The sequence below is a fragment of the Homo sapiens genome, chromosome 2, assembly GCF_000001405.40.
Source record: "Homo sapiens chromosome 2, GRCh38.p14 Primary Assembly".
Classification (NCBI taxonomy): domain Eukaryota; kingdom Metazoa; phylum Chordata; class Mammalia; order Primates; family Hominidae; genus Homo; species Homo sapiens.
The window spans coordinates 97,517,958-97,542,465 of record NC_000002.12 but is presented as its reverse complement, the minus strand read 5'-3'; the positions used below and the strand labels follow the sequence as shown (position 1 = coordinate 97,542,465).

At 36.3% G+C, this 24,508-nt stretch overlaps 1 protein-coding gene across 26 annotated transcripts in view; it reads left to right on the top strand.

The window, feature by feature from the left end:
• Positions 1–24,508, top strand: part of ANKRD36B (ankyrin repeat domain 36B) — a 97,215-nt gene that overhangs the window by 47,412 nt on the left and 25,295 nt on the right. For 19 of the 26 annotated variants that reach the window (XR_007078917.1, XM_047445328.1, XM_047445323.1 and 16 more), the window contains 10 exons: positions 359–387; positions 483–555; positions 2,237–2,265; positions 2,360–2,432; positions 4,103–4,131; positions 4,226–4,298; positions 5,970–5,998; positions 6,094–6,166; positions 10,082–10,155; positions 18,999–19,140. Coding sequence is in view for 25 of the 26 variants with exons in the window: in XM_047445328.1 (XP_047301284.1) it covers positions 359–387; positions 483–555; positions 2,237–2,265; positions 2,360–2,432; positions 4,103–4,131; positions 4,226–4,298; positions 5,970–5,998; positions 6,094–6,166; positions 10,082–10,155; positions 18,999–19,140 (624 nt within the window). In the remaining variant the exon portion in view is untranslated. Of the gene's footprint in view, positions 1–358; positions 388–482; positions 556–2,236; positions 2,266–2,359; positions 2,433–4,102; positions 4,132–4,225; positions 4,299–5,969; positions 5,999–6,093; positions 6,167–10,081; positions 10,156–18,998; positions 19,141–20,393; positions 20,936–24,508 lie in introns of those variants that run through there. The other 7 variants (XM_047445330.1, XM_047445321.1, XM_011511557.4 and 4 more) reach the window with 6 other exon arrangements.

Sequence of the window (24,508 nt, the reverse complement as noted above, 5' to 3'; positions counted from 1 at the left end):
CATGTACCACCTGCTTTGACATTGATTCCCAGGTGATTAGTTTCTTCTGTGATTTTAGACCACATTTGTCCTCATCACTCGGCATATCCTTATTGAAATTGACACTTTTATTTTAGTTTTAGTCATATGACAAATCATACTACGTTTGAAATGCTTAGTGTATATTTCTTGAAACCTGTATTCCTGTTTTCTTCAGTGTATTTCTGTCATGTTCCCATCCCAAAACACAAAGTATAAAGCATCAAAGCCTACACTAATAACTGCAGACAGATGCAGCTTGATGCTAACACTGCATGAATGTTTGAATAACTTTATCATATGCACATATGAGTGATTATGTATCTGTTTTGCTTTTCAGTGTCTTCTCAGAAACAACCGGCCTGGAAGGTAATTAAACACTCATATATATTTTGAACTATTAACTGTATAGTCTATGAATATATACTTTATGTATTGATTATTTTGTTTCAAATCCCATTCAGGCTACAAGTGTCAAGAAAGATTCTGTTTCGAATATAGCCACAGAAATAAAGGATGGACAAATACGTGGGACAGGTATTTTGGAATACACCTTTAATGTAATGTTCGATCAAATAGAAGAGAAATTCACTTCCCCAAATAAATCAGCGGGGGTTTCATTGAAGCTTTATGTTTGGATTCAGCATGCCTGAGATTCTTCATTTGTAATAAGTCCTCGGGTGACCCTGATGGTGCTGGTCCTTGACCATGATCTGAGTAGTAAGATTGTAGACTTCCCTACATTGAAATTAGGAAGAATAACCATAGGAGAGTGGTTTAGCACATAACAGCCTCAGGGGACAGCATCATTTTGCTTTAATTCTACAGCAAGTTTCCATCAAGAGGGGAAGGAGAAAGAGATGAAGTAATAGATATTATAGGCGTCAGATTATATTGTTATAAACAGAGGGAAACGTCATCCTAATACCTCAAAAACAGCATAGAATGAGAACGAACAAGATCACTGAAGTAGCAATTATTTTCCACAAGGAAGAGGGATTGTGAGGCAGGAAGGAGAGAAAAGAAGAAGTTATTTATGTAATTTTGGGGTTTCTGTTGAGGAAAGCTGAGTGAACTCACTTCAGATAAATTTGGAATATTTGCATAAAAGAACACTAAATTTTGGCTTCTCCAAGAACTACTGGAAGCAGGAAACAATGCTAGAATTGGGATAAAGCACACTGACTCATTACTCTTCTTTGCTACTATTAGGCATCAGAGATACATGTTTTGTTGATTTTAGTTATAAAAATGAGATAAACTTGAATATGAATACATTGGCTTCGTTGTTCAAGGAGCTAACTCTTGGGTAAAATAGCTATTGGATGAAACTTCTTTAGAGAATAGCATGATACTCCCAACAAGACTATTTTAGAAACAAAAAGTATGTGGAATTCTAATTAACTCCTAAAGTGGTCATTTTCAATGAATATTGGAGTGATTTGTGAATGTAAAACATATTAATATCTAACGCTTGTAGCAGTTTTACTTTGTAGAAGTATGTCAAAATTGATAATTGATGATATTTTTATTGAGGCTAATATATTATCCTTTGGTGCCATGAATGGATGAAGAAACTTTTGGAAAGCTAAACGAGTGGATACAAGAAACTTAGGCAAATTATTACACCACGTGGGTTTGAGGAATAATAAATATTATCTACTCAGTTTCAGCAAACAGATATCCAAGGTGATCAATTTAGGACACTTCTACTGAAGAGACGTGAAGTGTACATTCAACTGAAGTGTCATTGTAATTGTGTACCTTCTCTGTTATCGGGCAAGTTAAAGAGCATGATGAATGTCTGTAGTATAATGGTGTAAATCCTTTTGATTTCTTGCATGAAAGACCTGTGGGATCAAGTACCACCTACTTTGACATTGATTCTCAGGTGTATGAGTTGATCCTCTGATTTTAGATCACATTTGTCCTCATCACTCAGCATATCCACGTTGATATTGACACGGTTTTATTTTAGTTTTAGACATATGACAAATCATACCATGCTTGAAATTGTAAGTATATTTTTCATGAAGGCTGTATTACTTTTTTTCAGTGTATTTCTGTCATGTTCCAATCCCCAGACACAAAGTAGGAAACATCAAATCCTACCCTAGTACAGGCAGAAGGATACAGCTTGATGCTAACACTGCATGAATGTATGAATAACTTTATCATACGTGCATGTGGGTGATTATGTATCCCTTTTGCTTTTCAGTGTCTTCTCAGAGACGACCAGCCTTGAAGGTAATTAAACTCTTATTTATATTGTGAACTAGTAATTGTATAGTCTATGAAACATACTTTATTTATTTATTATTTTGTTTCAAATTCCATTCAGACTACAGGTGATGAGAAAGATTCTGTTTCGAATATAGCCAGAGAAATAAAGGATGGAGAAAAATCTGGGACAGGTAATTTTACAAAACACATTTAATGTCATGTTCAGTCCAGATAGAAAAGAACTTCTCTTCCCCAAATAAATCAGCGGGGGGGTTCGTCGCAGCTGCACATTCCGATTCTGCAGACCTGAGATTCTTCATTTGTAATAAGTTCTCGGGTGACGCTGATGCTGCTGGTCTTGGACGTGATCTTCGAAGTAAGATTATAGACTTCCCCACATTGAAATTGGGAAGAAGAAACATTGGAGACCATGTCAAGACATAAGGGGCTCAGGGGACAGCATAATTTTGCTTTAATTCTACAGCATGTTTTCACCAAGGGTGGTAGGAGATAGAGATGAAGTATAGATTTTACAGATATCACATCGCGTTCCTAAAAACAGATGGAAAAGTGATCACAATAACCCATAAACACTGTAGAATGAGAACTAACGAGACCGCTGATGTAGCAATTACTTTCCTCAAGGAAGAGGGATTGTCAGGCAGAAAGGAGGGAAAATAAGAAGTTATTTAGGTAATTTTGTTGTTTCTTCTGAGGAAACTTGTGTTCAGATGCATATTCGAATATTTTCCTAAAAGAAGATTTGATTTTGACTGCTTTAGGAACCAGTGGAAGCAGGAAGGACTCCTAGAATTGGGATAAACCACAGTGACTCATTGCTCCTCTTTGTTACTCTTGGGTGTCAGAGATATATGTTTTGTTGATATTAGTTATTCAAATGAAATAAACATGAATATGCATATATTGGCTTTTCAATTAGCTAACTTTGGATAAAATAGCAATTTAATGAAAATGCTTTAGAGAGTAACATGATACTTCAAACCAGACTATTTTAGAAACAAAATTAATTTGAATTCATTAATTGACTTTTAAAATTGTTATTTTCAATGAATATTGTAGTGATTTCCAAATGTAAAAGGTTATTCATATCTAATGCTTGTAGCAACTTTATTTTGTATAAGTTTGTCATTTGATCATTTATTATACTTTTTGATATGGTTTATATATTATACTTTGTTGCCATGAGTGGATGAAGAACCTTTCTGTAGCCTAAACTAGAGGACACAACAAATGTAGGCACATTATTACACCACATGGGTTTGAGAAATAAAGAATATTGTATACAGGATTATCCCAACCTATATCCAAGCTGATGAAGCTGCGACACTTCCACTGAGGACTTGTGAAGTGTACATTCTATTAAAGTGTCATTGTCATTGTGTACCTGCTCAATTACCAGGCAAGTTAAAGAGCATGATGAATACTTGCAGTACAGTGGTATAAATCCTTCTGATGTCTTGCATGAAAAACATGCAGTAGCATTTAGTACCTTCTTTGACATTGGTTCCTGGGTGTATGAGTTGCTCCTCTGATTTTAGATCACATTTCTTTTCATCATTCAGCATATCCACATTGATATTGACACTTTTTATTTCAGTAATACACACATGACGCAAAATACCTCTTTGTAATTTCTGACTGAATATTTTCTGGAAGCGTGTATTCCTATTTTCTTCAGCATATTTCCTCATGTTCCTGTCCCAAAGACACAAACTGTAAAACATCAAATCCTACACTAGTACAGGCAGGAGGATACAGCTTGATGCTAACACTGCATGAATGTGTGGATAACTTTATCATATTTACATATGATGGATTATATATTTCTTTTACTTTTCAGTGTCTCCTCAGAAACAATCGGCCCAGAAGGTAGTTACTCTTTCATTTATATTTTGAATTATTTATTGCATAGCCTATGAAATATATATTATGTATTGACTATTTTGTTTCTCTTTCCATTCAGGTTATATTTAAAAAGAAAGTTTCTCTTTTGAATATTGCCACAAGAATAACGGGCGGTGGGAAATCTGGAACAGGTAATTTGGCAATATACATTTAATGTCATGTGCACTCAAGATAGAAGACAACGTCCCACCCCTGAATAGATCAGCAGGGGGCTCATTGAAAATGCACTTTCTGATTCAGCAGGCCTGAGATTGTGCATTTCTACTGAGTTGTCAGGTGTTGTTGATGCTGCTGGTCCTTGGCCATGATCTTAGTAACAAGCTTATAGACTTCCCTACATTGAAATTGTGTAGAAGAACCGTTGGAAAACAGTTCAAGACATAAGAGATAAGAGGATCCGGGGACAGCATAATTTTGCTCTTATTTCAGAGCATGTTTCTATGGAAAGGGGAAGGAGAAAGAGAAAAAAGTAATAGAAATTATAGATGTCAGATGGTACTGCTTAAACCAGAGGGAGGAAGTTGTCATAATAACCCATAAACACTGGAGAATGAGGAGCAAGGTGACCACTGATGTAGTAATTATTTTCATCAAGAGAGGGATTGCAAGGCAAGAAAGAGGGGAAGGAAGAAGTTATTTAGGTAATTTTGGGGTTTCTGCTGAGGAAGCCTGAGTGAACTCACTTCACATGCATTTAGAATATTTGCATACCAGAAGATCTGATTTCTGGCTGCTCCAATGACTACTGTAATCAGGAAGGAGTGCTAGAATTGGGATAAATCACAGTGCCTCATTATTCATGTTTATTAGTATCAGACATCAGACATATATTCTTTATTAGTTATTCAAATGAGTTGAAATTTAATATGAATATTTAGTTTTTTCCAAAGTGCTGGCTGTCTTGTTAAAATAGCTATTTAATGAAAATTCTTTATAGTAAAGTGATATTCCAGAGCAGACTAATTTTACAGACAAAAATAATGTTGAATGCATTAATTGAATCTTAAAGTGATTATTTTCAATGAATATTGGACTGATTTCCAAATGTGTAAGTTTATTAATATCTAATGCCTGGAGCAATTCCATTTTGTATAAATATGTATAATTTATTATACTTTTCGATGGGGTTTATATATTAGACCTTCTTGCCATTAGTGGATGAAGAAACTTTCTGAAGGCTAAACTAGAGGATATAAGAAATGTAGGCAGACTATTACACCACATGGGCATGATAAATAATGAATATTAACTACTAGGATTCACCAAACATATATCCAAGCAGATCAATTCAGGACACTTACACTGAAGATACGTGAAGTGTACGTTCAACTGAAGTGTCATTGTAATTGTGTACCTTCTCAGTTATCAGACAAGCTAAAGAGCATGATGAATGTTTATGTTATACTGGTATAAAGCCTTCTGATGTCTTGTATGAAAGTCATGTAGTCGCAGTTAGCACCAGCTTTTACACTTATTTCTAGGGTTATGACTTGCTCCTCTGATTTTAGATCACATTTCTCCTTGTTAATCAGTATATCCACATTGATATTAACACTTTTTTTTAGCAATAGATGTGGTGCATAATCTCACTTTTTAACTTGTAACTGTATGTTTTTGAAGCTTGTATTCCTATTTTCTTTATTGCATTTCTATCATGTTACTGTCCCAAAGAAACAAACTAGAAAAACATGAAACCCTACACTAATACAGGCAAGAGTATTCAGTTTGATGCTAACACTCCACGAATGTATGGTTGGCCTTACCATATTTACATATGATTATATATTTCTCTTGCTTGTTAGAGTATCCTGAGAATCTGCGCACCTTGAAGGTAATTACTCTTACATTTATATTTTTAATTATTAACTGCATAACCTATACCAATATACATCATGTGCTAATCACTTTGTTTTAAAACCCATTCAGGCTACAATTGAAAATAAAGATTCTGTTCTGAATACAGCCACCAAAATGAAGGAGGTACAAACATCCACACCAGGTAAACTTTGCATTGTAGATTTAACTCTGGAAAGAAGTACATTAATCTGTTTGTAATGCTCATAGTCTTTCTATTCTCAATTATTTCACTTTTTATATTTTATTTCAGGATTTCATCTAAATAATGCAGCTGTTATCATTTTTATTTATATTTTCAAAAATGAGATTTACATGCATAAGGAAAATACATTTTTAAAACATAAGGTTTTTTTTTTTGTTTTGTTTTTTGTTTTTGGAGACAGAGCTTTGCTCTTGTTGCCCAGGCTGGAGTGCAATGGCTCAATTGTAGCTCACCACAACCTCCACCTTCCTGGTTCAAGCAATTCTCCTGCCTCAGCCTCCCGAGTAGCTGGGATTACAGGTATGCCCCACCATGCCCGGCTAATTTTGTATTTTTAGTAGAGACAGGCTTTCTCCATGTTGGTCAGGCTGGTCTTGAGCTCTCGACCTCAGGTGATCCTCCCGCCTCGCCCTCCCAAAGTGCTGGGATTACAGGTGTGAACCACCATGCCTGGCCTAAAAATATAAGGTTTTATTCAGATGTTTCTACTTTTACATTTTGATACTCTGAAGTTTCCAATTTGGAATTCAATAGTTTTTAGCGAATTAAAGAGATCAATTTTGATACTGTAAAATATTTGTTTTGCTTTAAAAGTCAATTAAAATTATGGCTTTTAGCTAATGAAATGTTTTATTTTGTAACATATTTTGTTTTAACTTTTATTGGTTCTGGTCAATTTTGTTACACTTATTATATTAAGCCAATCGGATGTTCTGATTAGCACACTGTGTGTGTGTGTGTGTGTGTGTGTGTTTTATTTTTTTGTTTTTAATTTTAATGAGTAAATTGTAGGTGTTTATGTTTATGGAGTAGATGAGATAGTTTGATACAGGCATACAATGTGTAATAATGACATCATGGTTAATGGGTTATCCATCACCTCAAGCATTAACCATTTCTTTGTGCTATCTTTTCATTTGTACTTCCTCAGTAATCCTAAAATGTACAACAAGTTATTTCTGACTGTAGTCATGTTTTTGTGCTATAAAATGCTACATTTTATTCATTGTTTCTAACTATAGTTTGTACTTATTAAGCATCCTCTTTTCCTACCACCCCCACACCCTTCCTAGACTGTGGTAATGGTGATTTTTCTCTTCATCTCCATGAGCTCTATTTTTTAAATTTCTCACACCCACAAAGGACTGACAACATGTGAAGGCTTCCTTTCTTTGCCTGGATTATTTTACTTGACATAATGTCCTCCTGTTCCATCCATGTCATTGCGAATGAGAGGATCTTATTCTTTCACATGGCTGAGCCGTATATGTATCACATTTTTAGAACCCATTTTTCTGTTGATGTACATTTAGGTTGATTCCAAATCATGGCTATTGTGAAAAGTGCTGCAATAAACATGTCAGGACAGATTTCTCTTTTATAATACTGATTTTCTTGCTTTTGAATCGTTACCTAGCAATGGGATTGCTGGATCATGTGGGTAGCTGTATTTTTAATTTTTTGAGGACTCTATAGTGTTCTCCATAGTGACTGTACTAATTCACAATGCCACCAATGGTGTACGAGGGTTCTGCTTTCTCCACATCCTCACCAGCATTTCTTAATGCCTGCCATTTGGATAAAAGCCATTTTAACTGAGGTGAGATGATACCTCATTGTAGCTTTGATTTGCATTTCTGTGATGATCAGTGATGTCGAGCACCTTTCCGTATACCTGTTTGCCATCTGATAGCAGTTTGAAACATAACAGTGTCATTTTGCTACTATTTCTGAGCATGTTTCTAGCCAGAGGGAAAGGAACACAAATTTAGGAAATAGAAATTATACATGTAAGGTACTACTGCTAAATTAAGAGGCTTTCCTCTTCATTTGTGGTGGGAATAATTTATAAGAGCTATATAGAAGTGTTGATATTAGTTAATCAAATGAAATTTATTTGAACTAAGAAACTTTGACTGATTTTACTAAGAAACCTATTTTTTTAATAAGATCACAGTTCCATGAAAGTGCCTTAGAGATTAGCATGGTATATCAAATCGAACTAATTTTAGAAACAAAAAGTTATAGCATTCATTCTTTGAATAACAAAACCAAAATAATCAGTGAACGTTGTACTGATTTTGAAGTATAAAATGTTATTAATGTCTGTGGAAATTTAATTTTTTCATTTTTGACAATTATTTACATATTGAAAGCTTATTATACACTTTTTTTTTTTTTTTTGAGATGGAGTCTCGCTCTGTCTCCCAGCCTGGAGTGCAATGGCACAATCTCGGCTCATTGCAACCTCTACCTCCCGGGTTAAAGCGATTCTCCTGCCTCAGCCTCCTGAGTAGCTGGGATTACAGGCACATGACACCATGCCTGGCTAATTTTTGTATTTTGAGTAGAGATGGGGTTTCACCATGTTAGTCAGGCTGGTCTCGACCTCCTGACCTTGTAATCCACCCACTTCAGCCTCCCAAAGTGCTGTGATTACAGGCGTGAGCCACCACACCCAGCCTATACACTATTTTTGATGTGGTTTACATATCTTCTTGCATGAGTGGATTCAGAAAGTTCTTGACAGGGCCAAACTGCAGGATACAAGCAATGTAGACATAGCAGTAGCCTACCTAGGAATGAAAAAAATGAATAGTTTTATTAATTTTTATTCTACAACTGTCTATCTAAGCTGATTAATTTTAAACAGTTTCTCTGATGAGAAATAAATTGTATATTTATTGGAAGTGTCCTCACAACTTTGTACTTCCTAAATAATAGGAAAAATAGTTGGACATGATAAATGCTTGTAGTATAATGGTGTAATTGAATCTGAAGTATTGCATTAAAGATAGGCCATAGCATCCTCCCATCAGCTTTGACACTTACTGTCTTAGGATCATGATTTGCTATTCTTTATAAGGATCATTTTTCTCATTATCAGTCAACATGTTTACATTGAAATAGATACACTCTTCTATTTCAGTTATAGTTAGTTGAGACATAATCTCACTTTTGAAACCTTAACTACATATGTTATAAAACCTGTATTAAATAAAATCATTTATCTGAGGAAAGATAGCCGGAATCAAGGAAGACTTCACATAGCTGTCTGAGTCTTAAATTATGAAAGAAATCTGTCAGAATAGTTGAGGAAAATATTTTAGATATAAAGAAGAGACTGTACATTGATGAAAGTGTAAACAGTAGCAGTCATTTTGGAAATGATTAATAATGAACAGCAGGCTCAATGTGCTGTTCTAAAGGTACTATTGTGAAGTAAAGAACAGTGTGCTGTTACTTTTTCTGTTTCTATTGGATTTTTACATTTTGTCTTATTTCTGATGGTTTTGTTCATTGATGTTGGGTGGATGAATTTGTGAGTGAATCTTTGACCACGTTTGCATGGCTTGAACCTGGTGACATCTAGTGCCTCCCCAAGTGGTTTGCTGAAGTTTTGGAGGATTAAAAGCCTTTCTTAAAGAAGTACATATTATACTAAAGATTAAGCTTCGTTGAAACACTTTTATTTTCTGGTTTTAGAAAGAATATGGCTTTTTTTTTTTTTTTTTGAGACACAGTCTCGCTCTGCCACCCAGGCTGGAGGTGCAGTGGTGAGATCTTCAGCTCACTGCAAGCTCCACCTCCCGGGCTGACGCCATTCTCCTGCCCCAGCCTCCCGACTAGCTGGGACTACAGGCACCTGCCACCACGCCCAGTTAATTTTTTGTATTTTTTAGTAGAGACGAGGTTTCACCTTGTTAGCCAGGATGGTCTCTATCTCCTGACCTCGTGATCCACCCGCCTCAGCCTCCCAAAGTGCTGGGATTACAGGCGTGAGCCACCGCTGACCATGGCTTTTATCTAACTGTTCTGTGTAGCTCATTTTAACTAAATATATAATTTTTTTAGCAGAACAAGACTTAGAAATGGCATCAGAGGGAGAGCAAAAGAGGCTTGAAGAATATGAAAATAACCAGCCACAGGTATGTAAAAATTTAAAATCAAATTTCTGGTTTAATCTTGTTTTCCTAGCTTTGGTAATACAGCATATTTGAAATGAATTTACCTTTGGATTTGCCTTTTAGTATCAGTTGATTATAATTTAATATTTCATTTTAAAAACATTTAGTTATAAAACTTAAAATAGTGTTGGAATCTATAGCAACTTGTATCTAATCTTTACTCTTGGAATTGAGTTAAAAAGTTCCTGATATTGTTTGCACTTCTATTTTTATAACTTCCTATTATAATAAAGAAGGTAACATCAAATATTGAATTACAATTTTAAGCAATAGAAATTATGAACAATTTAACAGTGATGACCACCGTACTGGATTCAGATTAAAGGAGTAATTATTGCTAGTGGTTCAAACTTTGCAGTTTTTTTATTGCCAGTCACTAATACCAAGGTTAAGAATTTATTTTCCCTTTTGATCTCTGACTTCAGTTTCTATGTTGAGGGAGAGAATGGGTCATAAAATCAACCCAACTGGCTATCAAGAGAATTATACCTTGCAAAATGGCACCTTTGGTATTAGTGTACAAACAATAACTGCCTAATGAATTTCAATATAGAAAATCTCTAAATATTGTTAAATTTATTAAATCCACTGTCATTAGTAGACCTTAGAACTTAAGCCTATAATCTATATAAATATATAACACTGTCAATCATATTACAATATGTAATTTGCATTAAAATGTAAGAATTTGCTTTTCTTTTTTTATTTTATTATTATTGTACTTTAAATTTTAGGGAACATGTGCACAATGTGCAGGTTAGTTACATATGTATATATGTGCCATGCTGGTACGCTGCACCCATTAACTCGTCATTTAGCATTAGGTATACCTCCTAATGCTATCCCTCCCCCCTCCCCCCACCCCACAACAGTCCCCAGAGTGTGATGTTCCCCTTCCTGTGTCCACGTGTTCTCGTTGTTCAATTCCCACCTATGAGTGAGAGCATGCAGTGTTTGGTTTTTTGTCCTTGCGATAGTTTACTGAGAATGATGATTTCCAATTTCATCCATGTCCCTACAAAGGACATGAACTCATCATTTTTTATGGCTGCATAGTATTCCATGGTGTATATGTGCCACATTTTCTTAATCCAGGCTATCATTGTTGGACATTTGGGTTGGTTCCAAGTCTTTGCTATTGTGAATAGTGCCACAATAAACATACGTGTGCATGTGTCTTTATAGCAGCATGATTTATAGTCCTTTGGGTATATACCCAGTAATGGGATGGCAGGGTCAAATGGTATTTCTAGTTCTAGATCCCTGAGGAATCACCACACTGACTTCCACAATGGTTGAACTAGTTTACAGTCCCACCAACAGTGTAAAAGTGTTGCTATTTCTCCACATCCTCTCCAGCATCTGTTGTTTCCTGACTTTTTAATGATTGCCATCCTAACTGGTGTGGGATGGTATCTCATTGTGGTTTTGATTTGCATTTCTCTGATGGCCAGTGATGATGAGCATTTTTTCATGTGTTTTTTGGCTGCATAAATGTCTTCTTTTGAGAAGTGTCTGTTGATATCCTTTGCCCACTTTTTGATGGGGTTGTTTGTTTTTTTCTTGTAAATTTGTTTGAGTTCTTTGTAGATTCTGGATATTAGCCCTTTGTCAGATGAGTAGGTTGTGAAAATTTTCTCCCATTTTGTAGGTTGCCTGTTCACTCTGATGGTAGTTTCTTTTGCTGTGCAGAAGCTCTTTAGCTTAATTAGATCCCATCTGTCAATTTTGGCTTTTGTTGCCATTGCTTTTGGTGTTTTAGACATGAAGTCCTTGCCCATGCCTATGTCCTGAATGGTAATGCCTAGGTTTTCTTCTAGGGTTTTTATGGTTTTAGGTCTAACGTTTAAGCCTTTAATCCATCTTGAATTAATTTTTGTATAAGGTGTAAGGAAGGGATCCAGTTGCAGCGTTCTACATATGGCTAGCCAGTTTTCCCAGCACCATTTATTAAATAGGGAATCCTTTCCCCGTTGCTTGTTTTTCTCAGGGTTGTCAAAGATCAGATAGTTGTAGATATGTGGCATTATTTCTGATGGCTCTGTTCTGTTCCATTGGTCTATATCTCTGTTTTGGTACCAGTACCATGCTGTTTTGGTTACTGTAGCCTTGTAGTATAGTTTGAAGTCAGGTAGTGTGATGCCTCCAGCTTTGTTCTTTTGGCTTAGGATTGATGTGGTGATGCGGGCTCTTTTTTGGTTCCATATGAACTTTAAAGTAGTTTTTTCCAATTCAGTGAAGAAAGTCATTGGGAGCTTGATGGGGATGGCACTGATTCTATAAATTACCTCGGGCAGTATGGCCATTTTAACGATACTGATTCTTCCTACCCATGAGCATGGAATGTTCTTCCATTTGTTTGTATCCTCTTTTATTTCCTTGAGCAGTGATTTGTAGTTCTCCTTGAAGAGGTCCTTCACGTCCCTTGTAAGTTGGATTCCTAGGTATTTTATTCTCTTTGAAGCAATTGTGAATGGGAATTCACTCATGATTTGGCTCTCTGTTTGTCTGTTATTGTTGTATAAGAATGCTTGTGATTTTTGTACATTGATTTTGTATCCTGAGACTTTGCTGAAGTTGCTGATCAGCTTAAGGAGATTTTGGGCTGAGACAATGGGGTTTTCTAGATATACAATCATGTCGTCTGCAAACAGGGACATTTTGACTTCCTCTTTTCCTAATTGAATACCCTTTATTTCCTTCTCCTGCCTAATGGGCCTGGCCAGAACTTCCAACACTATGTTGAATAGGAGTGGTGAGAGAGGGCATCCCTGTCTTGTGCCAGTTTTCAAAGGGAATGCTTCCAGTTTTTGCCCATTCAGTATGATATTGGCTGTGGGTTTGTCATAGATAGCTCTTATTATTTTGAGATACGTCCCATCAATACCTAATTTATTGAGAGTTTTTAGCATGAAGGGTTGTTGAATTTTATCAAAGGCCTTTTCTGCATCTATTGAGATAATCATGTGGTTTTTGTCTTTGGTTCTGTTTATAAGCTGGATTACATTTATTGATTTGCGTATATTGAACCAGCCTTGCATCCCAGGGATGAAGCCCACTTGATCATGGTGGATAAGCTTTTTGATGTGCTGCTGGATTCGGTTTGCCAGTATTTTATTGAGGATTTTTGCATCAATGTTCACTAAGGATATTGGTCTAAAATTCTCTTTTTTGGTTGTGTCTCTGCCCAGCTTTGGTATCAGGATGATGCTGGCCTCATAAAATGAGTTAGGGAGGATTCCCTCTTTTCTATTGATTGGAATAGTTTCAGAAGGAATGGTACCAGTTCCTCCTTGTACCTCTGGTAGAATGCGACTGTGAATCCATCTGGTCCTGGACTCTTTTTGGTTGGTAAGCTATTGATTATTGCCACAATTTCAGAGCCTGTTATTGGTCTATTCAGAGATTCAACTTCTTCCTGGTTTAGTCTTGGGAGGGTGTATGTGTCCAGGAATTTATCCATTTCTTCTAGATTTTCTAGTTTATTTGCATAGAGGTGTTTGTAGTATTCTCTGATGGTAGTTTGTATTTCTGTGGGATTGGTGGTGATACCCCCTTTATCATTTTGTATTGCATCTATTTGATTCTTCTCTCTTTTCTTCTTTATTAGTCTTGCTAGCGGTCTATCAATTTTGTTGATCCTTTCAAAAAACCGGCTCCTGGATTCATTAATTTTTTGAAGGGTTTTTTGTGTCTCTATTTCCTTCAGTTCTGCTCTGATTTTAGTTATTTCTTGCCTTCTGCTAGCTTTTGAATGTGTTTGCTCTTGCTTTTCTAGTTCTTTTAATTGTGATGTTAGGGTGTCAATTTTGGATCTTTCCTGCTTTCTCTTGTGGGCATTTAGTGCTATAAATTTCCCACTGTACACTGCTTTGAATGTGTCCCAGAGATTCTGGTATGTTGTGTCTTTGTTCTCGTTGGTTTCAAAGAACATCTTTATTTCTGCCTTCATTTCGTTATGTACCCAGTAGTCATTCAGGAGCAGGTTGTTCAGTTTCCATGTAGTTGAGCGGTTTTTAGTGAGTTTCTTAATCCTGAGTTCTAGTTTGATTGCACTGTGGTCTGACAGACAGTTTGTTATACTTTCTGTACTTTTACATTTGCTGAGGAGAGCTTTACTTCCAACTATGTGGTCAATTTTGGAATAGGTGTGGTGTGGTGCTGAAAAAAATGTATATTCTGTTGATTTGGGGTGGAGAGTTCTGTAGATGTCTATTAGGTCCACTTGGTGCAGAGTTGAGTTCAATTTCTGGGTCTCCTTGTTAACTTTGTGTCTCGTTGATCTGTCTAATGTTGACAGTGGGATGTTAAAGTCTCCCATTATTATTGTGTGGGAGTCTAAGTCTCTTTGTAGGTCACTCAGGACTTGCCTTATGAATCTGGGTGCTCCTGTATTGGGTGCATATATATTTAGGATAGTTAGCTCTTCTTTTTGAATTGATCCCTTTACCATTATGTAATGGCCTTCTTTGTCTCTTTGATCTTTGTTGGTTTAAAGTCTGTTTTATCAGAGATAGGATTGCAACCCCTGCCTTTTTTTGTTTTCCATTTGCTTGGTAGATCTTCCTCCATCCTTTTATTTTGAACCTATGTGTGTCTCTGCATGTGAGATGGGTTTCCTGAATACAGCACACTGATGGGTCTTGACTCTTTATCCAATTTGCCAGTCTGTGTCTTTTAATTGGAGCATTTAGTCCATTTACATTTAAAGTTAATATTGTTATGTGTGAATTTCATCCTGGCATTATGATGTTAGCTAGTTATTTTGCTCGTTAGTTAATGCAGTTTCTTCCTAGTCTCGATGGTCTTTATATTTTGTCATGATTTTGCAGTGGCTGGTACCGGTTGTTCCTTTCCATGTTTAGTGCTTTCTTCAGGAGCTCTTTTAGGGCAGGCCTCATGGTGACAAAATCTCTCATCATTTGCTTGTCTATAAAGTATTTTATTTCTCCTTCACTTATGAAGCTTAGTTTGGCTGGGTACAAAATTCTGGGTTGAAAATTCTTTTCTTTAAGAATGTTGAATATTGGCCCCCACTCTCTTCTGGTTTGTAGAGTTTCTGCCGAGAGATCCACTGTTAGTCTGATGGGCTTCCCTTTGTGGGTAACCCGACCTTTCTCTCTGGTTGCCCTTAACATTTTTTCCTTCATTTCAACTTTGGTGAATCTGACAATTATGTGTCTTGGAGTTGCTCTTCTCGAGGGGTATCTTTGTGGCGTTGTCTGTATTTCCTGAATCTGAATGTTGGCCTGCCTTGCTAGATTGGGGAAGTTCTCCTGGATAATATCCTGAAGAGTGTTTTCCAACTTGGTTCCATTCTCCCCGTGACTTTCAGGTACACCAATCAGATGTAGATTTGGTCTTTTCACATAGTCCCATATTTTTTGGAGACTTTGTTCATTTCTTTTTATTCTTTCTTCTCTCAACTTCCCTTCTCGCTTCATTTCATTCATTTCATGTTCCATCACTGATACCCTTTCTTCCAGTTGATCGCATCGGCCTCTGAGGCTTCTGCATTCTTCACGTAGTTCTCGAGCCTCCGCTTTCAGCTCCATCAGCTCCTTTAAGCACTTCTCTGTATTGGTTATTCTAGGTATACATTCATCTAAATTTTTTTCAAAGTTTTTAACTTCTTTGCCTTTGGTTTGAATTTCCTCCTGTAGCTCAGAGTAGTTTGATCATCTGAAGCCTTCTTCTCTCAACTTGTCAAAGTCATTCTCCGTCCAGCTTTGTTCCATTGCTGGTGAGGAACTGTGTTCCTTTGGAAGAGGAGAGGCACTCTGCTTTTTAGAGTTTCCAGTTTTTCTGCTCTGTTTTTTCCCCATCTTTGTGGTTTTATCTACTTGTGGTCTTTGATGATGGTGATGTACAGATGGGTTTTTGGTGTGGATGTCCTTTCTGTTTGTTAGTTTTCCTTCTACCAGACAGGACCCTCAGCTGCAGGTCTGTTGGAGTTTGCTAGAGGTCCACTCCAGACCCTGTCTGCCTGGGTATCAGCAGCGGTGGCTGCAGAACAGTGGATTTTCATGAACAGCGAATGCTGCTGTGTGATCTTTCCTCTGGGAGTTTTGTCTCAGAGGAGTACCCAGCCATGTGAGGTTCAGTCTGCCCCTACTGGGGGGTGCCTCCCAGTTAGGCTGCTTGGGGTCAGTGGTCAGGGACCCACTTGAGGAGGCAGTCTGCCCATTCTCAGATCTCCAGCTGCAGGCTGGGGGAACCACTGCTGTCTTCAAAGCTGTCAGACAGGGACATTTAAGTCTGCAGAGGTTACTGCTGTCTTTTTGTTTCTCTGTGCCCTGCCCCCAGAGGTGGAGCCTACAGAGGCAGGAAGGCCTCCTTGAGCTGTGGTGGGTTCCACCCAGTTTGAGATTCCCAGCTGCTTTGTTTACCTAAGCAAGCCTGGGCAATGGCAGGCGCCCCTCCCCCAGCCTCACTGCTGCCTTGCAGTTTGATCTCAGACTGCTGTGCTAGCAATCAGTGAGACTCAATGGGCATAGGACTGTCTGAGCCAGGTGCAGGATATAATCTCCTGGTGCGCCATTTTTTAAGCCCATTGGAAAAGTGCAGTATTAGGGTGGGAGTAACCCAATTTTCCAGGTGCTGTCTGTCACCCCTTTCTTTGACTAGGAAAGGGAACTCCCTGACCCCTTCCACTTCCTGAGTGAGGCAATGCCTCACCCTCCCTCAGGTCATGCACAGTGCACTGCACCCACTATCCTGCACCCACTGTCTGGCACTCCCTAGTGAGATGAACCTGGTACCTCAGATGGAAATGCAGAAATCACCCATCTTCTGCGTCGCTCACACTGGGAGCTGTAGACCAGAGCTGTTCCTATTTGGCCATCTTGGCTGCCAGACAAAGAATTTGCTTTTCTTACTGACTGGTGGTGATTTTGGCTCCTAATAATTTAAAGTTTGCCTAATCATTAGTTAGTAATATTAGGAAAAAGCACTCAAGTGTACACTGTTCATATAGTGATAAAATCTTTTAAAGTGACAGTGCCTTTATAGTACCACAAGTCATCTCCTAATTCATTTTTGGGAAATTTAACACATAATGAATTAGTCAAGTTTAGTTCAAACAAACAGTGGCAAATTAAAGTTTCATGATTTGTGTTTTTCACTGATTTTAGGCTAATGCAAATTATTTTTCACTTCTTAGTTACAATCCAGTGATTTGGCAGTAGGTAAACATAGATTAAGAAGTTTGATATTAAACTTTAATTATTTTAAAATTTTTCTCTTTTTACACTTGATTATTTAAAGATAGAGTTATTTCTAAAACATGTACTCTGACAGAAAAGACATCTGAGAAAGAAAACTAGCAAATTTATCTTCCACTTTTGCATGTGCAAAAATTGTCTCAACAACTAGTAGTGAAAAAGTGTTGTGATAGAAAGGACCTCTTTATATATTCAGGACTTACTTGTGCACAAAAGTATGAGAGAATGTGGATCAAACAAGACAAATTAGGGTAAAAAAACTTTAAAATTCATCACAAATAAGTTAAAGTAGAGTTTCAGTGAAATTTGTGAAAATTACAAAACTGCTTGTATTGAGGAAGAGCAACTACATAATAACTCTACAGGAAGAACAAACTTAAGTAAATACCCTCTAATTTGACAAATGATTCACCTGATTGTTAGGAAAGTGATGCATCTGGCATGTCTGTCTCTGTAGTAGTCCAGATATTTCCTGAACAAAAATAACCCAGTCTCAAAAATGCCTTTCTTTCTCATTCATACTCTGGGTCTCCAGAATATGCTTGCCAGTCACCTTCGGAGCTTTATTTAAATAGAAATAAAGTAGACTGTGAAAATGACAACAAACCAGATACTGAACATGTTTTTAACTCAGACAAGGAAAATTTTTATAATGATACTGAAAGTACAAAAGCAAGAAACCCAGAAGTAGTTATGGATGAAATAAAAGAAGTCAAATAGGTTGTGAGGCAAATGACAAAAAACCAAAACACCGCTAACTGGAAATTAAACATCGGACATATGCCTCAATTTAGTGATTCAAAAAGCCTTTTAGGTATGTGGCTTACCTGCTCCAAAGAAATGAAGCATGTGATTTAAAAAAAAAAAAAAAGATGATGGTGTTTCTGTTGTTACAAACACAACAGTACAAAACCAATACAGAATGTGTTCCAGAAGCCGTTATGTGACAACTGTAGTGCAAATAAATATGAAAGCATAAAACTTGAATTAGAAAATGTGCATTATTCTCCACCACATGGTGACAGAACATCAGCAGTATGTCTAGAAGTGGAATTAAGTGATATATGCAAAGATTTAAGAATGAGGTAAGCATATTACAAGTAAAGTAGAGTTCCTGGCTTTGGAGAAAGTTCAACTTCCAAAAGACTTAGAGGGTCACTTGCTGCTACTCTGGTTTTTCTCTTCACCAATTATTTGATCCATTTGAATTTTTTTACTTATGAAAATCTCTTGTGTAAAATGGGGTAATCTAAATACCTAATTGTATGTATAAATAGATTGTTTTTGCAATTAAAATAACTCAAGCTCAGGAAGACATTCTCTTAATCTTTGTTCCTTAATTAACCCAAGTCTCTCTGTCAGTTTTCTAAATAGCATAGGAACTGGGAAACTAATTTATCCATAGACCATGTGGTCTTCTGAACTAGAGTCAACATAAAGGAAATTGCTTAAAAAAAAAGTATGGAACAGGTACCTGTGTTTGTGCTCATAGAAACAGATGGGCAATTCCCACTTCTGTACATTTAGTATATGCTATAAATATTTTGGGGACATTTTGAAACAGTGTTATTTATTTTGTAGGTGAAAAACCAAATACATTCTAGGGATGACCTTGATGACATAATTCAGTCATCTCAAACAGTCTCAGAGGACGGTGACTCGCTTTGCTGTAATTGTAAGAATGTCATATTACTCATTGATCAACATGAAATGAAGTGTAAAGGTAGGACCAATGCATAAATATAAGGCTTTTTAAAAATCCTATAGCAATGTATGCACACATTGCTTAACACTGTACCATAGAGTACTGATATGTTACAAGAATGTTCATCTCAGAAATATGCCTTATGTTAAAATAGAATGAAAGCAACTGTATCTTGTACCTTCTCAGCCAAAGAGCTATGATCATTTCACTGTACTTTTCTCAGTGTGAATGATACACACAGTGTGTTTGTTTACTCTGCTTCTCTTCTATGCCATTACCCATTTACCCATGGTCATGTTACCATTTCCTCCCACCTGAAATACTGTGATAACCCTCTAACTGTCTTTCCTACTATTCCACCTTCCAAAACCATGGCCTGTTCTGCAATCATAATTATATAGTTGTAAAAAATCACACCTGATCATGTTACCTGCTTGCTGAAAACCCAGCTGCCATTTATTGCTATAAGATATGGATCTCAGTCCTCGAGCTTTATACTGCATCATTGCATACCCTTCTCTGTGTCACAGCCAGTGCCTTAGGTGTTTGCTCCTACAATCAGTAGCTTTAGTGTGGTAAAATTGATATGCGATACAGTGCACACATGTAAAAGGTACCATTTGATAAGTTTTAACAGATGTATACACATGTGAAACTATTACCATCATCGAGATAGTCAACATATATCCATCACCCACTAACGTCTCCTCATGGCCCTTCATATTCCTGTTTTTAAAAGCTGCTAAATGGTTTTCCAAAATATTTGTACTATTTTCTATTCTCATCAGCAGTAAATGACCATTCCAGTTGCTATGTTGTCACACTACTGCTGTATTTATTTTTTTAAATTTTAGTTATTCTGATGGGTGTATTATGTATATTCTTATGGGTTTAATGTACATGATCCTAATGACTAAAATGTTGAGCATCTTTCCATGTGTTTATTTGCCATCTGTACATCTTCTTTGTTGAACTGTCTTTTCACATCTTTTGCATATAAAAAAGTAGGTTGATGTTTTCTTACGTGTTGAATTTTAATAATTCTGTATGTATTTGGATACTATTACTTTTAGCTACTTTTTTACAAGGGTATTTTTGCCAGTTTTTGGGTTGACTTTTCACTTGCTTTGTAGTATCTTTTGAAGAGCAGAAGATTTTAATTGTAATGAAATCCAATTTAATTGTTGAATTACAGATTTTGCATTTTGTGTCATATGTAAAAATGTTTGCCTAGCACAAGGTCACAAAGATTTTTCCTGTGTTTGTTCTAGAAATTTTATAGATTTGGATCTTCCATTTAAATCTGTGCTCCATTTTGAGTTTCCTTTTGTCTATGGAGTGAGGTGAGGTATGGATTCAAGTTCACTTTATGGATATGGACAGCCAGTTGTTCCAACACCGCATGTTGAAAAGGCTATCCTTTCTCCACTGCATTGCCATCCTGCCTTTGTCAGTCATAAGCTGGTTGCTTATGTGTTATCTATTTCTGGACTGTCTGTTGAATTTTATTAATTTGCAGGTGCTCCCCAAATTGTGGGAAACCCAGTGTTTGAGTCAAAAGCAATTTAATACTTCAGTAAACCCACTGTAAAGTCAGTAAGTCAAACCACCTTAAGTTGGGGATTGTCTGAATTTGACTTTCTTTATACAGGTTGAGCATTGCTGATTTAAATATCCCAAATCTGAAATGCTCTAAAACCCCAGACTTTTTGATTGCCAACATAGACAGCACAGTGGAAAAATTCTACATCCGACCTCATGTATACAAACATTGTTTCATGCCCCAAATTATTAAAAGTATTATTTAAAATTACCTTCAGTCTTTGTGTACAAGGTAAATATGAAAAACAAATGTATTTTGTGTTTAGACTTGGGTCCTATCCCCAAGATATTTCATCATGTATATGCAAATATTCCAAAATCCAAAATCTGAAAAACTTCTAGTCTGAAGCATTTTGAATAAGGGATATTCAGCCTGTACCTGTGGCACACTGTTTTTGTTACTATTGATTTATAGTAATTCTTGAAATGAATCCTCCAATTTTGTTCTTTGTTCTGTTTTGACTATGCTAGATCCTTTGCATTTTCACATGAACTTTAGAATCAGCTTATCAATAAAATAAAGACTGCTCGCTTGTTGGAAATTAAGTTGGGATTGGGTCATATTTATAGATTAATTTGGGGAGAATTGACATCTTAACAATAGCGAATCTACTCCTCAATAAAGTGTATGTCTGCTTTTATAGAGGTAATATTTAATTTTCTCAGTAGTATTTTGTAGTTTTTAGTTTATAGGTCTTTTCATATTTTATCAGATTTATCTGTATTTCATTTTTGATGAAGTTGTAAATGATAGTTTAATTAGTGTAGATGTATTTGACTTTCTTTATACAGGTTGAGCATTGCTAATCCAAATATACACTTTTATAAAACTATAGAAAATGATAGTTTTAAAATTTTCATTTGATTGTTTATCGCTAGCATATAGAAATACAGTTAATTTTTCTGTATTGAATTTGTATCCTTCATTCTTGTTAAACTCACTTATTAGTTCTGGCACATTGTTGGTAGATTTGATCAGATTTTCTTCATAGACCAAAGGTTGTTAAACCTTTCTTTCTCAAACTACCCTCTTACTAAGGATAGTGAATATTTTAGGCTTGTGGCAAAAGGGTCTCTTTTGCAGCTGATAAACTCTGCCATTTTAGTATGAGAGCAGCCATAGATCATCCATAAATTAATGAACACAGCTGTGTTCCAATAAAAGCTTATCGGACAAGAAGCTGGCCCACAGGTTGGGGTTTACCCATACCTATTTTATGGTCATGGTTGTGTATAAAGACAATTTTATTTCTTTTTTTTAAACTTGGATGCCTCTTATTTCTTTTTCTTGCCTGACTGCATTAACTAGAATCTTCAGAACAATGCTACAAACAAGTAGTGAAAGCAGACATTCCCATGTTCTTCCTCATCTTATGGGAAATGCATTCAGTTTTTCACTATGATGCACGTTAGCTGTAGGTTCATCATAGACGTTGTTTATCATGCTGAAGAACTTCCCTTGGATTCTTATGTTACTGAGAGTGTTTCTTCTTTGAGACATCAGGAGTAAATTTTATCAGATGCCTGTGTCTGTTGGGATGATCCTATGGGTCTTCTCTTTCAGTTTGTTTTGTGGTAAATAATGATGATGTTTCAATGTTAAGCCAACCTTCCATTTCTGGAATAAACCCCATTTGTTTATGATGTATTACCTTTTCATTATACTGTCGGATACAGTTTACTAAAGTCTCATTTAGAATTTATTATAAAGACTTTTATTTTTTAGACCAGTTTTATGTTCCTGTCAAAATTGAGAGGGGGGTTCAGATATTTTTTTGTATACCCCCAATCCAATACATGTTTAGCCTCCTTCATTACCAGTATCCTTCACCATAGTGGTAGTTGCTATGATAGATGAGCCTAAATTGACACATCACAATCACCCCAAGCCCATAATTTGCATTGGGGTTCACTCTTGGTACTTTACATGTATGGATTTGGACAAATGTACAATGATGTGTATCCATGTTACATAAATTATTTTGACTTCCCTAAAAATCCTCTGTGCTCTGCCTATGTATCTTTTCCTGCTGTCTCTTACCCTTAGGCACCCTTTTACTTTATCCATAGTTTTGCCTCTTCCTGATCATATAGTTGGAACCATACAGTAAGTAGCCTTTTCAGATGAGCTTATGTCACTTGGTAATATGCATTTAAGGTTCCTTCACATATTTTCATGAATTGATTGCTCATTTCTTTATGTGTAGAGTGATATTCCACTGTATGGCTGTGTAACCACAGTTTATTCACTCCACTATGGGAGGATGTCTTCGTTGCATCACAAATTGGTTGAATTTTTACATTCGTGCTCATGAGGGAATTTTCTTGTTGGTAATATTTTCTGGTTTTGGTTCAGGGTAAAGCTAACATTACAGACTGAGTTGAGATATACTCCTTCTTTCTGTTTCTTTTGGGAGAGTTTATGTATAATTGTATTAATTTCTTCCGGAAATGTTTTGTAGAATCACCAGCATAGCCAGCTGGGTCTGGAGTTTTCTTTTAGGAAGGTTTTTAACTATAACTTAACTTTCTTCTATAGATATAGGGCAATTCACGTTATCTATTGCTTCTTGATTGAGATTTGCTAATTTTCATTTTTAAAGGAATTTGTTAATTTTATCTAAGTTGTCCTGTTTACTTACATAGAAATTATAATATCTTGTTATATTTTTAGTATCTGTAGAATCTATAATTATGTCACATTGTTTATTTCTGAAATTAGTAATTTGTATTGTTTCTTTTATTCTGAGCAGCCTGGCTAAATGGAGCTTTATCACATTTATTGATCTCCTCAAGGTGTTTTGTGTTGTTGATTTTTTTCTATTGTTTCTTCTGGAACCAACAGTATAACAAAATACCATAGACTGGTTCAAACAACAGAAGTTGATTTCTCGCAGTTGTGGGTTCAGCAAAGTCCAAGATCCAGATGCTGTCATGTTTGGTGTATGGTTAGGGAACACGTCCTAGTTCATGAATGCTTTTTCTCTGTGCCCTCACTTGGCAGAAGGGGTGAAGGAGATCTGGGGTCTGTTGTATAGAGCACTAAGCACTAATCCCATTCATTAGGGCTTCGCTCTCATGACCAACTACCTGTAAAAATCCCCCCTCCTAATACCGTCACATCTGTGATTGGCTTTCAGCATATAAATTTTGGGGAAGACAAACATTCAGACCACAGCAGATGTTTATTATTTCCTTTCCTCTGCTTGCTTTGGGTTTATGTCACTCTTCTTTTATCTAGTTGCTTAAGGTAGAAGTCAAAGTCATTGATTTAAGACTCTTCTAATGTAGACATTCAGCAGTGCTAAAAATTTGTATTCAAGTACAGCTGTAGCTGCATTCCACAAATTCTGGTTGATGAATTTTTATTCAGTTCAGAATATTTTCTATTTTCTATTTCTATTTTCATTACCTGTTTGACCCAGGGTTATTTAGATGTGTGTTACTTAGTTTCCAAATATTTGTGTATTTCCCAGAGTTATTTTTGTTATCGGTCTTTAATCTGATTGATTTGTGGTCAGGGCACATACTTTGTATGAGTTAAATCCTTCTGACTCAATCCTTTAATTGAGAGTTGTTGTATGGCCTAAAATATGGTCTATTTTGGTAAGTGTTCCGTGGGTACTTGGAAAGCATAGTGTTGTTCAAGTCTATTCTCGCTGATTTTCTGCCTTCTTGTTCTATCACTTATTGAGTAAAGGGTATTGAAACCTCAGATTACCTAGAAATTGTCTGTCACTTTTTGTAGTTCTATCCACTTTGGTCTCATATATTGTGAGGCTGG